This window comes from Homo sapiens, chromosome 10 (genome assembly GCF_000001405.40).
Source record: "Homo sapiens chromosome 10, GRCh38.p14 Primary Assembly".
Classification (NCBI taxonomy): Eukaryota; Metazoa; Chordata; class Mammalia; order Primates; family Hominidae; genus Homo; species Homo sapiens.
In genome coordinates, this window is record NC_000010.11 from 85,868,996 (window position 1) to 85,882,918 (window position 13,923).

Here is a 13,923-nt window from a genome sequence, read left to right on the forward strand (position 1 = left end):
GGCTGAGCACTGACCTGCAGCATCTGGAGGTAGCCTTCCTGGGGGTCGCAGAGCAGGGAGGAGATGCGGTGGTTGTTCCTCGTGCATTTCTGATTGTCCTTTGCAGACGGAAAGATTTGCCGGACCACGGTCATCCTTCCAAGGGCACTATGGACCAGATCCAGGATCTCCGGGTCACTGATTTCCTAGAAAAATAACCAGGCCCATGCTTACCATCCACTCATGAACTATCTCTGCAAGAGACCTATCAGGAGGCATCTAGGCCAGCAGCCTGAAAAGCTGATGCCAAAGAGGGCAAGGGATTGGGCCCAGGTCACACAGTTCATTAGTTGCTTATTCACAAATAATACTTGCTATCCCTTAGAGGCAAACAAGATTAGTCAACATTTTCCCTGAAGGCTAGAAAAAGACGTTTGAGACTAAACCACTGGTGCACTGGTTTCCACAGGTGTGAAGCTTTTAGGAACTAATGCCATAAAAGGTCATGGTAGACATTAGCAAGACAGAAAGGCTAACTTTCCTTTTGGGAGTCACCTACCTGATTCTGACAAGGAAAGCTGGGTTTCTCTGCCATAGTTGATCAATATACAATGAGTTTCCATGAATTCTTCCAGAATTACATTCATTTTACAAAATATTTGCACACGAATTTTGAGAATATATCCATTCATTTATTCACTATTCATTCCACAAAATCTACCTATATCTCTGAAGTTTGTTCTGTACTAAGCACTGTGGATACAGCCAGAAAAAAATCAGGCCCTATCCTGTCCCATAAATCTCATGGGCATCCTAGGATGGATTATGCCAAGTTCCAGGGCTAAGGAAACCTATGTGCTGTCTATATTGACTACAAAAAGCCCTTTGCTCACATTAGCTTATTTAGTGCTCACAACATCCCATCCTGGTATGATCCACTGTGGAGCATAGAAATAGCAGGGGGAGGAGACCACAGGAGCTCTTTCCAGAACAGGGCTTCCATGAGGAATCTGACAAGGGGTGGACTTGTGATGGTTAATATTGAGTATCAACTTGATTGGATTGAAGGATGCAAAGTATTGTTCCTGGGTGTGTCTGTGAGGGTGTTGCCAAAGGATTTTAACATTTGAGTCAGTGGTCTGGGAGAGGCAGACCCGCCCTCAATCTCAGTGGGCAACATCTAATCAGCTGCCAGCATAGGTAGAATAAAGCAGGCAGAAGAAGCTGGAAAGAGCAGACTTGCTGAGTCTTCCAACCTCCATCTTTCTCCCGTGCTGGATGCTTCCTGCCTGTGAACATCAGACTCCAAGTTCTTCAGCTTTTGGACTCTTGTACTTACACCAGCGATTTTCCAGCCGCTCTCAGGCCTTCGGCCACAGGCTGAAGGCTGCACTGTGGCTTCCCTACTTTTGAGGTTTTGGGACTCAGACTGGCTCCTCAGTTTGCAGACAGCCTATTGTGGAACTTCACCTTGTGATCGTGTGAGCCAATACTCCTTAATAAACTCCCTTTCATATATACTTCTATCCTATTAGTCCTATCCCTCTAGAGAACCCTGACTAATACAGATTTTGTTTCTGGCTAACAAGTTCTGGAGGAGAAACTTGCTAGCCAAAGTGCCGCTGGTAGGCAGGGCACAGTTGCAGTTGAGGAGTTGGTGGTGCTGTGGAAGGAAGGTGGAGGGAGCTGCCAATAGCTCCCTGTTCCAGGTAGAGGGTAGAGGCAGCAGGGAGTGTGAAATGCTAAAGCCTTAGATGACCTGGGGAGGGACAGAGCAACTGGTCCCCTGCAGGGAATGCTTGTGGGGCAGAAGGAACAGTGGTCAGTGGCAGGGCTAGAGCCCCATTCAGGGCCAGATGGGAGAACAGAGGGTCAGTACACCCCACAAAATGCTAATATTAAGGGAGACAAGGAGCTCTTGAAAGGATCTGGGCTCAAACAAGCCATAGATTTACATTTTTGAAAATCTCTGACTGCGGTAGGGCGAGAGGATTAGAGAGGAACAAAACTGGAGGAGGAGAGAGCAGAGAAGAGAGCACCCTTCTCTGTAGCTGTGTGCAACATGGGAACTACAACAAAAATGGAAACTAACACATACAGACGCCCCTCAACTTAAGATGGGCTTACATCCTGACAAACCCATCATACGTTGAAAATATCATAAATAAAAAATGCATTTAATCCTCCTAGCCGACGAACATCGCAGCTTAGCCTTGCTCAGAATGCTCACGTTAGCCTACAGTTGGGCAAACTCACCCAACAGAAAGCCTATTTTATAATAAAGTGTTGAATATCTCACAGAATTTCTTGAATGCTGTACTGACAGTGAAAAACAGAATGGTTTTATGGGTACTAAACTGGGTATTCTACTGAATGTGTATCATTTTCATGCCATTGTAAAGTCAAAAAATTGTAAGTCAAACCATTCTAAGTCAGGATAAGTCAGCCTGTATAAGCCAACAATTTCAGTGATGGAAGAGAGGGCTAGCCAGGTTAAGAAAAGCTCTGGTTCACTCTTTCTAAGAAGGGACTAAGTCAGCGGTAAATTACAAGACAAAATTTTAACTACAAATAGCTACATTTTGAAATAAGTCTTAAATCTTTCTCCTTGCATGTGACACATTCTAGCTTTGAGACAATATGATGGTAAAAAGGAAGCTAATGAGGTTGGGAATTAGTGATGAGGGTTTCAAAATCATTTAAACAAGAACATAACATTTTTAAGGGTAAGATGGTAAACAATGTATTTCAGAAACTGTCTTAAGAAGCTGATATGTGTGTGAAGCCTGGTCAGTTGAAACTGGGTGCTGGGTCTGGGAGAAAGTAAAATATTAAGGATTGTATCCTTTTAGGATAATTAATATTTCCTAAATATACTGAATTACAGGGATTTCAAAAGAACTCAAATGCTATTACATATTGGATTTGGGTTTAAACTACTAAACTGTATTTCAGACAAAAGTCTGTTCAAGGGAAGATGATTTTATTAGATTGGAACCGACAGACAGTCAAAGGTGGGGAAATTGACAATGTCCATATCTCAGGACTACCAGATGGAATGGGCCTAGAACACAGCTGGGCTTCAGGGAGGGGAGCAGAGGGCACAGCTGAGCCTGGATGTGCATGCTCAGCTCTGCTCTTAGCTGCCTTGGTGACCAAGGCCCTGCCCCGAACACAGGATACAGAATAAGAGAAATCACATTCTAATCTGAGACAAAGTAAGAATATAAGAAAAAGCAATGAGTAGGTTAGTTAGTTTTACCTGAAAGACAGAATATAAAGGACCTGGGGAGGTCATGAAGACCCTAATTTAAATTATGCACAAAAGAGAGAATCAGAGCCAGTACACCTCCAAGAGGAATTGGATGTGTCTCATGCCTTTCGTTTTTCCCATATTCTCTTGATGGCTGAGGGCACTGTAGGAATAACAGGCCATTTTCCTAGAAGTCCTTTGATTAAACTTCTCCTGCTTCCTCAACTTTCTGGAGGGAGAATCTGCAGCACTGAGCTCTCCCCACTACACCCCAAGCAGGACCCTGGAAATCTGTAGTGGAGTTGACTTACAAAGTTGCACAGTACGTTTCTGTAAACACAACCATCACTTTCCCTGGCAACCTGGGGCAGCACCTGGAGTGAGTGGCTAAGTGGGCCAAGGGCAGCCACCACATCAAGTGGGCTCAGCCCCTGCCCCCAACTCCCTTAGTCTGCACTGTTTCTTTTCCATTCTACCCACCTGGGAATTCTTGAAGGCTCCCTTTCCAACCCATTAGCTGCCATATGTCTTCCTCACAGTGAGGGTCTGCAGGTACCTTGCAGAACTTCCTGTTTCCCCTAATCCAGTTTTCATCCATGTGCTCTGGGTCAGAGCATGTATGCTGGCTGCCAATGTACTCCTACCCACCTCCTTGCACTTGTGGGATTATTCTTACTGTACAATCCAGAGATATTTGCAATCAGAATCTAACAAGCCACAGAAGCAGCTTCCCCACTTCCTTGGGGTCAATTAAAAAGGTCACTTTTCTCCTTGCGTAAGTCCCAAACCTGTGTGATCAGTCAGTTCTAGAAGTTTCATGCCAGGCCCTGCTCTTGTCCTGTTGGTCCTCCTGGGTCTCTTGTAGTGCCACAGGGGTGAGTATAGGGATGCATCCACTCCCTGCTCACTGATGTCAGGCTGCACACACCAGGCTGCATTTCCTGGCTGCACACATCAGGTCAGTCTCTGTACTACTATGAGACACCCCGACCTCGGGACCTTCTTAAGTGTGCAGAGGGCAATCCAAGTGGCTTCTTGGAAAACAAACTTTCCCTTTGTCCTGGGCAAAGATTCCCTCCAGTAGTGCAGCCAATGAGCAGAAGAAGCAAGATAATGTATATACAACACTATTAGAAGTCAGCAAGTCAGCAGCACAGACAAAAGTAACACATCATACACAGATGCTCACTGAGTGCACGGGCTCAAAATAAGCCTTTTGTATTTTATTACTTTTTAAGTTTATATTGTGAAATATATCTTATGTACAAACATTACATACATTAAATATGAATAATAAAATGATTTCAGTGCGCCTTTCATCAAGCTAAGAAATAAAATATTACCCACATCTTGGTTGGATGCCTCCTTCTCAAAAGCTTACTCCTTCCTCCTCACAGAAGCAGCCTTCATCATGCTCTGATTAGTGTAGCGTAACCCAAATAACATACAGTTTAGTCTCATTTATTCTGTTTAGCTTTGGGTAAGCTAAACAATGTGTATGCCTCTTGCAACTGTGTTCTAACACGCTGTTTCTCAAACTTCGTTGTGTATCAGTACCACTTGGGAACTTAATAAAATTACAAAACTCCAGTCCTGTCCCACTTCAACAAGCAACGTCTCTGGGTACCCCATTAGCTTTCCAGATAATTCCAATACTCACCACCATTTAATAACCACTGGTTGAACATTAAGCATTAGTGATTGATTCATGGCTGATAGGTGCAGCTCAGCTCTAGTTTATTCATTTTCAAAGCTGTGCACAATCACATTGTATGACTATATTACAATTTATTCACCCTATTGTTGATTACCATTTGACTGTTTTGTTTGTTTGCCCTTACAAAGTTTCCATGTACATTGTCTTGTGCATGTGTCTTGGTGTGCTTGAGTAAGAATTTCTTTAGGATATATATCTAGAATTAAAGTTCCTTGATTAGAAAATAGGAACATATTCAAATTTACTAGGTAACAGCAAATATGTAAAGTGTAAAATAAATTTATATATTTGGGTTGATTTCTGTCATATTATTTATATTCTATATTTTGCTATTTTTTCATTTTTCCTTTTTATAAAGTGGTTTTACAAAGTTATAATCATATGTGGTAAGGGAGTTTCTGTTGCTCTACCTCCTTGCCTACACCTGATATTGTATGACTTCCTAATATTTGACAGTCTGGTAAGTATGCATTGGAGCATTGTTAAATTTTATTTTCACTTCCCTAATTCTTAATAAGGTTGAATATCTTTTATACACTTATGAATCATTTGTATTGCCTTTCCTGCATTTGTGCTTTTGTCCAATTTCCACTGAGTTGGTTCTCTTGCATGTTAATTTGTGGGAATATATTTTTTTATTCTAGATACAAAGCCTTTGTCACCTGCTACGGGTATCTTCTCCACGTTCAGGAATGTTTGTTAGAACCAGGCTACAAACCCATCTAACTTTGGTTCTTTGTGGAAAGGCTGGCTTTGTAGCTTACCGTGTGGTCAGTTTGTACTACATGAACGTTTCATGTGCATTCACTGTTCATTTGTTGGTGTCAATGGTCATTTTTAGGTCCATTAAAAATCTGTGTATTTCTCTTTGAATATTGGCTATTTTTAATATATTTTGGGGTTATGTTATTTTATTTTATGTATTTATTTATTTATTTTGAGACAGAGTCTCGTTCTGTCTCCTGGGCTGGAGTGCAGTGGCACAATCTCGGCTCACTGCAACCTCCACCTCCCGGGTTCAAGCAATTCTCCTGTCTCAGCCTCCTGAGTAGCTGGGACTACAGTCGCATGCCACTACGCCTGGCTATTTTTATTTTTATTTTGTTTGTATTTTTAGTAGAGACGGGGTTTCACCATGTTGGTCAGGCTGGTCTTGAACTCGACCTCAGGTGATCCACTCGCCTCGGCCTCCCAAAGTGCTGGGATTACAGGTGTCAGCTATCGTGCCTGGCCAGGGGGTTTTTTTATTCGTTACACACAGTATAGAAAGACAGCCCTTGCTGAATTAAATGTTACCATCATATAGATACCCTATTTATTTCTAGTAACACATCTTGCCTTATGGTCTATTGTGTCTGATATTAATATAGCTACATGAGTTTTATTTGGTTAGCATCTGCCTGCTCTAACGTTTTCCATCTCTTTGCCATCAGTCTTTCTCTGTCTCACATTTTAGTTGGAATGCCTGTAAACCTAATATACTAGATATTTTACATCCATATTTGAATTTTTAGTAGAAATTTCAATCCATTTATATTCATTATGATTATTTATATATTTGGATTGATTTCTATAACATTATTTATATTATACATTTTGGAGTTTTCTCTTTATTCCTTGTTTGTTTCCCTTTAAAATGATTTGTTTCCTATCTTTACTTATTTACCTACCCTTGGCAGTTATGTTTTCTATGTTATCTTTTATTGGTTATGCTAGATATTTTAATATGCATATCTAATAAAGTGTGAAGTTAATCAGTATTTTTACTCTCTTCTTTAATGTTTACTTCCAATCACCATTATCCCAACTAACACGCTAAAAACCTCCAGTATTTTAATTCAATCTTTCTTTGTATTTTCCCATTACACATTATTTCTATTGTTTGATACAGCCAATATTTATCTATGTAACCAATATTCATTAGTTTATTGGTAAGGCTTCTTTTAGAGACCTCAGACCTTATATCTGGGGTCATCTTCCTTCTCCTGAAGTATATGATTGAGAATTTCCTTTAATTTGGGTTTGTTGGTGATAAACTCAGTTTTTGTTTGCTGGGAAATGCCTTTATTTTTATCTCACTCTTGAAAGATATAATTCTAAGTCGACTACTATTTTCTCTTAGACATGGAAAGTAATATGGCACTGACTTCTAGCTTCCACTGCTGTCCAGTGTGTAAGTTTCCCACAGCTGCATTAACAAATTATCATAAACTTAGTGCTTCAGAATAACAGAGTTTTATTCTATCATATTTCTGGAGACCATAAGACCAAAATCCATTTCACTGGGCTGAAATCTCGGTGGTGGCCAGGATGCCCTCCTTTGGAGACCCTGGGGGAGACATGTTTCTCACTTCTTCCAGCTTCTGGTGGCCGTCAGCATTCCCTGGCTTGTAGCTGCATCATTCCAAGCTCTGCCTCTGTGGTTGCATCACCTCTTCTTCTTTCATACAGTCAAACCTCCCTTTGTGTTCCTCTTATAAAGATGCTGGGATTGCATTTAACACCTATCCAGATAACCCAAGATAATCGCCCCATCTCAAGATCATTAACTTCATCATATCTGCAAAATGTCCTTTGCCATATAAGGTAATACTAACAGGTTCTAGGATTAGGCCTTGGATATCTTTGGAGTCCATTATTCAGCCCACTGCATCCAGATATTAAGAATCATTTTGGGGTGGAGCCAAGATGGCTGAATAGGAACAGCTCCGGTCTACAGCTCCCAGCGTGAGTGACACAGAAGACAGGTGATTTCTGCATTTCCATCTGGGGTACCGGGTTCATCTCACTAGGGAGTGCCAGACAGTGGGTGCAGGACAGTGGATGCAGCGCACCGTGTGCCAGCCGAAGGAGGGCGAGGCATTGCCTCACTCGGAAGTGCAAGGGGTCAGGGAGTTCCCTTTCCTAGTCAAAGAAAGGGGTGACAGATGGCACCTGGAAAATCGGGTCACACCCACCCCAATACTGCGCTTTTCCAATGGGCTTAAAAAATTGCACACCAGGAGATTATATCCTGCACCTGGCTCGGAGGGTCCTACGCCCACGGAGTCTCGCTGATTGCTAGCACAGCAGTCTGAGATCAAACTGCAAGGCGGCAGTAAGGCTGGGGGAGGGGCGCCTGCCATTGCCCAGGCTTGCTTAGGTAAACAAAGCAGCAGGGAAGCTCCAACTGGGTGGAGCCCACCACAGCTCAGGGAGGCCTGCCTGCCTCTGTAGGCTCCACCTCTGGGGGCAGGGCACAGACAAACAAAAACACAGCAGTAACCTCTGCAAACTTAAATGTCCCTGTTTGACAGCTTTGAAGAGAGCAGTGGTTCTCCCAGCACACAGCTGGAGATCTGAGAACGGGCAGACTGCCTCCTCAAGTGGGTCCCTGACCCCCGAGCAGCCTAACTGGGAGGCACCCCCCAGTAGGGGCAGACTGACACCTCACAGGGCTGGGTACTCCTCTGAGACAAAACTTCCAGAGGAACAATCAGGCAGCAGCATTTGCGGGTCACCAAAATCCACTGTTCTACAGCCACCGCTGTTCTGCAGCCACCGCTGCTGACACCCAGGCAAACAGGGTCTGGAGTGGACCTCTAGCAAACTCCAACAGACCTCCAGCTGAGTGTCCTGTCTGTTAGAAGGAAAACTAACAAAAAGAAAAGGACATCCACACCAAAAACCCATCTGTACGTCACCATCATCAAAGACCAAAAGTAGATAAAACCACAAAGATGGGGAAAAAACAGAGCAGAAAAACTGGAAACTCTAAAAAGCAGAGCACCTCTCCTCCTCCAAAGGAACGCAGCTCCTCACCAGCAACGGAACAAAGCTGAACGGAGAATGACCTTGACGAGTTGAGAGAAGAAGGCTTCAGACGATGAAAATACTCCGAGCTATAGGAGGAAATTCAAACCAATGGCAAAGAAGTTAGAAACTTCAAAAAAAATTAGACAAATGGATAACTAGAATAACCAATGCACAGAAGTCCTTAAAGGAGCTGATGGAGCTGAAAGCCAAGGCTTGAGAACTACGTGAAGAATGCAGAAGCCTCAGGAGCCGATGCAATCGACTGGAAGAAAGGGTATCAGTGATGGAAGACGAAATGAATGAAATGAAGCGAGAAGAGGAGTTTAGAGAAAAACGAATAAAAAGAAAGGAACAAAACCTCCAAGAAATATGGGACTATGTGAAAAGACCAAATCTACGTCTGATTGGTGTACCTGAAAGTGACGGGGAGAATGGAACCAAGTTGGAAAACACCCTGCAGGGTATTATCCAGGAGAACTTCCCCAATATAGCAAGGCAGGCCAACATTCAGATTCAGGAAATACAGAGAACGCCACAAAGATACTCCTCAAGAAGAGCAACTCCAAGACACATAATTGTCAGATTCACCAAAGTTGAAATGAAGGAAAAAATGTTAAGGGCAGCCAGAGAGAAAGGTCGGGTTACCCACAAAGGGAAGCCCATCAGACTAACAGCAGATCTCTCAGCAGAAACTCTACAAGCCAGAAGAGAGTGGGGGCCAATATTCAACATTCTTAAAGAAAAGAATTTTCAATCCAGAATTTCATATCCAGCCAAACTAAGATTCATAAGTGAAGGAGAAATAAAATACTTTACAGACAAGCAAATGCTGAGAGATTTTGTCACCACCAGGCCTGCCCTAAAAGAGCTCCTGAAGGAAGCACTGAACATGGAAAGGAACAACCGGTACCAGCCACTGCAAAATCATGCCAAAATGTAAAGACCATCAAGGCTAGGAATAAACTGCATCAACTAACGAGCAAAATAACCAGCTAACATCATAATGACAGGATCAAATTCACACATAACAATATTAACTTTAAATGTAAATGGACTAAATGCTCCAATTAAAAGACACAGACTGGCAAATTGGATAAAGAGTCAAGACCCATCAGTGTGCTGTATTCAGGAAACCCATCTCACGTGCAGAGACACAAATAGGCTCAAAATAAAGGGATGGAGGAAGATCTACCAAGCAAATGGAAAACAAAAAAAGGCAGGGGTTGCAATCCTAGTCTCTGATAAAACAGACTTTAAACCAACAAAGATCAAAAGAGACAAAGAAGGCCATTACATGATGGTAAAGGGATCAATTCAACAAGAAGAGCTAACTATCCTAAATATATATGCACCCAATACAGGAGCATCCAGATTCATAAAGCAAGTCCTGAGTGACCTACAAAGAGGCTTAGACTCCCACACAATAATAATGGGAGACTTTAACACCCCACTGTCAACATTAGACAGATCAACGAGACAGAAAGTCAACAAGGATACCCAGGAATTGAACTCAGCTCTGCACCAAGTGGACCTAATAGACATCTACAGAACTCTCCACCCCAAATCAACAGAATATACATTCTTTTCAGCACCACACCACACCTATTCCAAAACTGACCACATAGTTGGAAGTAAAGCACTCCTCAACAAATGTAAAAGAACAGAAATTGTAACAAACTGTCTCTCAGACCACAGTGTAATCAAACTAGAACTCAGGATTAAGAAACTCACTCAAAACCACTGAACTACATGGAAACTGAACAACCTGCTCCTGAATGACTACTGGGGACATAATGAAAGGAAGGCAGAAATAAAGATGTTCTTTGAAACCAACGAGAACAAAGACAAAACATACGAGAATCTCTGGGACACATTCAAAGCAGTGTGTAGAGGGAAATTTATAGCACTAAATGCCCACAAGAGAAAGCAGGAAAGATCCAAAATTGACACCCTAACATCACAATTAAAAGAACTAGAAAACCAAGAGCAAATACATTCAAAAGCTAGCAGAAGGCAAGAAATAACTAATATCAGAGCAGAACTGAAGGAAATAGAGACACAAAAAACCCTTCAAAAAATTAATGAATCCAGGAGCTGGTTTTTTGAAAGGATCAACAAAATTGATAGACCGCTAGCAAGACTAATAAAGAAGAAAAGAGAGAAGAATCAAATAGACGCAATAAAAAATGATAAAGGGTATATCACCACCGATCCCACAGAAATACAAATTACCATCAGAGAATACTATAAACACCTCTATGCAAATAAACTAGAAAATCTAGAAGAAATGGATAATTTCCTCAACACATACACCCTTCCAAGACTAAACCAGGAAGAAGTTGAATCTCTGAATAGACCAATAACAGGCTCTGAAATTGTGGCAATAATCAATAGCTTACCAACCAAAAAAAGTCCGGGACCAGATGGATTCACAGCCGAATTCCACCACAGGTACAAGGAGGAGCTGGTACCATTCCTTCTGAAACTATTCCAATCAACAGAAAAAGAGGGAATCCTCCCTAACTCATTTTATGAGGCCAGCATCATCCTGATACCAAAGCTGGGCAGAGACACAACCAAAAAAGAGAATTTTAGACCAATATCCTTGATGAACATTGATGCAAAAATCCTCAATAAAATACTGGCAAACTGAATCCAGCAGCACATCAAAAAGCTTGTCCACCATGATCCAGTGGGCTTCATCCCTGGGATGCAAGGCTGGTTCAACATATGCAAATCAATAAATGTAATCCAGAATATAAACAGAACCAAAGACAAAAACCACATGATTATCTCAATAGATGCAGAAAAGGCCTTTGACAAAATTCAACAACCCTTCATGCTAAAAACTCTCAATAAATTAGGTATTGATGGGACATATCTCAAAATAATAAGAGCTATCTATGACAAACCCACAGCCAATATCATACTGAATGGGCAAAAACTGGAAGCATTCCCTTTGAAAACTGGCACAAGACAGGGATGCCCCCTCTCACCACTCCTATTCAACATAGTGTTGGAAGTTCTGGCCAGGGCAATTAGGCAGGAGAAGGAAATAAAGGGTATTCAATTAGGAAAAGAGTAAGTCAAATTGTCCCTGTTTGCAGATAACATGATTGTATATCTAGAAAACACCACTGTCTAAGCCCAAAATCTCCTTAAGCTGATAAGCAACTTCAGCAAAGTCTCAGGATACAAAATCAATGTACAAAAATCACAAGCATTCTTATACACCAATAACAGACAAACAGAGAGCCAAATCATGAGTGAACTCCTATTCAGAACTGCTTCAAAGAGAATAAAATACCTAGGAATCCAACTTACAAGGGACGTGAGGGACCTCTTCAAGGAGAACTACAAACCACTGCTCAATGAAATAAAAGAGGATACAAAGAAATGGAAGAACATTCCATGCTCATGGCTAGGAAGAATCAATATCGTGAAAATGGCCATACTGCCCAAGGTAATTTATAGATTCAATGCCATCCCCATCAAGCTACCAATGACTTTCTTCACAGAATTGGAAAAAACTACTTTAAAGTTCATATGGAACCAAAAAAGAGCCCACATCACCAAGTCAAGCCTAAGCCAAAAGAACAAAGCCAGAGGCATCACACTACCTGACGTCGAACTATACTACAAGGCTACAGTCACCAAAACAGCATGGTACTGGTACCAAAACAGAGATAGCGATCAATGGAACAGAACAGAGCCCTCAGAAATAATGCCACATATCTACAACCAGCTGATCTTTGACAAACCTGACAAAAACAAGCAATGGGGAAAGGATTCCCTATTTAATAAATGGTGCTGGGAAAACTGGCTAGCCATATGTAGAAAGCTGAAACTAGATCCCTTCCTTACACCTTATACAAAAATTAATTCAAGATGGATTAAAGACTTAAATGTTAGACCTAAAACCATAAAAACCCTAGAAGAAAACCTAGGCAATACCATTCAGGACATAGGCATGGGCAAGTGCTTCATGTCTAAAACACCAAAAGCAATGGCAACAAAAGCCAAAATTGACAAATGGGATCTAATTAAACTAAAGAGCTTCTGCACAGCAAAACAAACTACCATCAGAGTGAACAGGCAACCTACAGAATGGGAGAAAATTTTTGCAATCTACTCATCTGACAAAGGGCTACTATCCAGAATCTACAAGAACTCCAACAAATTTACAAGAAAAAAACAAACAACCCCATCAAAAAGTGGGCAAAGGATATGAACAGACACTTCTCAAAAGAAGACATTTATGCAGCCAAAAAACCATGGAAAAATGCTCATCATCACTGGCCATCAGAGAAATGCAAATCAAAACCACAATGAGATACCATCTCACACCAGTTAGAATGGTGATCATTAAAAAGTCAGGGAACCACAGGTGCTGGAGAGGATGTGGAGAAATAGGAACACTTTTACACCATTGGTGGGACTGTAAACTAGTTCAACCATTGTGGAAGTCAGTGTGGCGATTCCTCAGGGATCTAGATCTAGAAATACCATTTGACCCAGCCATCCCATTACTGGATATATACCCAAAGGATTATAAATCATGCTGCTATAAAGACACATGCACACGTATGTTTATTTTGGCACTATTCACAATAGCAAAGACTTGGAACCAACCCAAATGTCCAACAATGATAGACTGGATTAAGAAAATGTGGCACATATACACCATGGAATACTATGCAGCCATAAAAATGATGAGTTCATGTCCTTTGTAGGGACATGGATGAAACTGGAAACCATCATTCTCAGCAAACTATCGCAAGGACAAAAAACCAAACACCGCATGTTCTCACTCATAGATGGGAATTGAACAATGAGAACACATGGACACAGGAAGGGGAACATCACACTCCCGGAACTGTTGTGGGGTTGGGGGAGGGGGAAGGGATAGCATTAGGAGACACACCTAATGTTAAATGACAAGTTAATGGGTGCAGCACACCAACATGGCACATGTATACATATGTAACAAACGTGCACATTGTGCACATGTACCCTAAAACTTAAAGTGTAATAATAATAATATTTTTTTAAAAAATCATTTTAACTGTCATTCCCTTGTAGATGATATGCCTTTTCTGTTTGGATGCTTTTTTAGGTTTTTGCTTGTCTTTGGTGTTCTACAGTAGCATGTTATGCTATACCCAGATATGGACTTTTA

General features: G+C 41.5%; 1 protein-coding gene across 1 annotated transcript in view; it reads right to left on the reverse strand.

Annotated features, from left to right (window-relative positions):
- The window catches only part of GRID1 (glutamate ionotropic receptor delta type subunit 1), a 767,244-nt gene that overhangs the window by 269,444 nt on the left and 483,877 nt on the right, over positions 1–13,923 (reverse strand). The window contains exon 6 of the mRNA NM_017551.3: positions 15–185. Within this exon, the coding sequence (NP_060021.1) occupies positions 15–185 (171 nt within the window). The remainder of the gene's footprint in view (positions 1–14; positions 186–13,923) is intronic.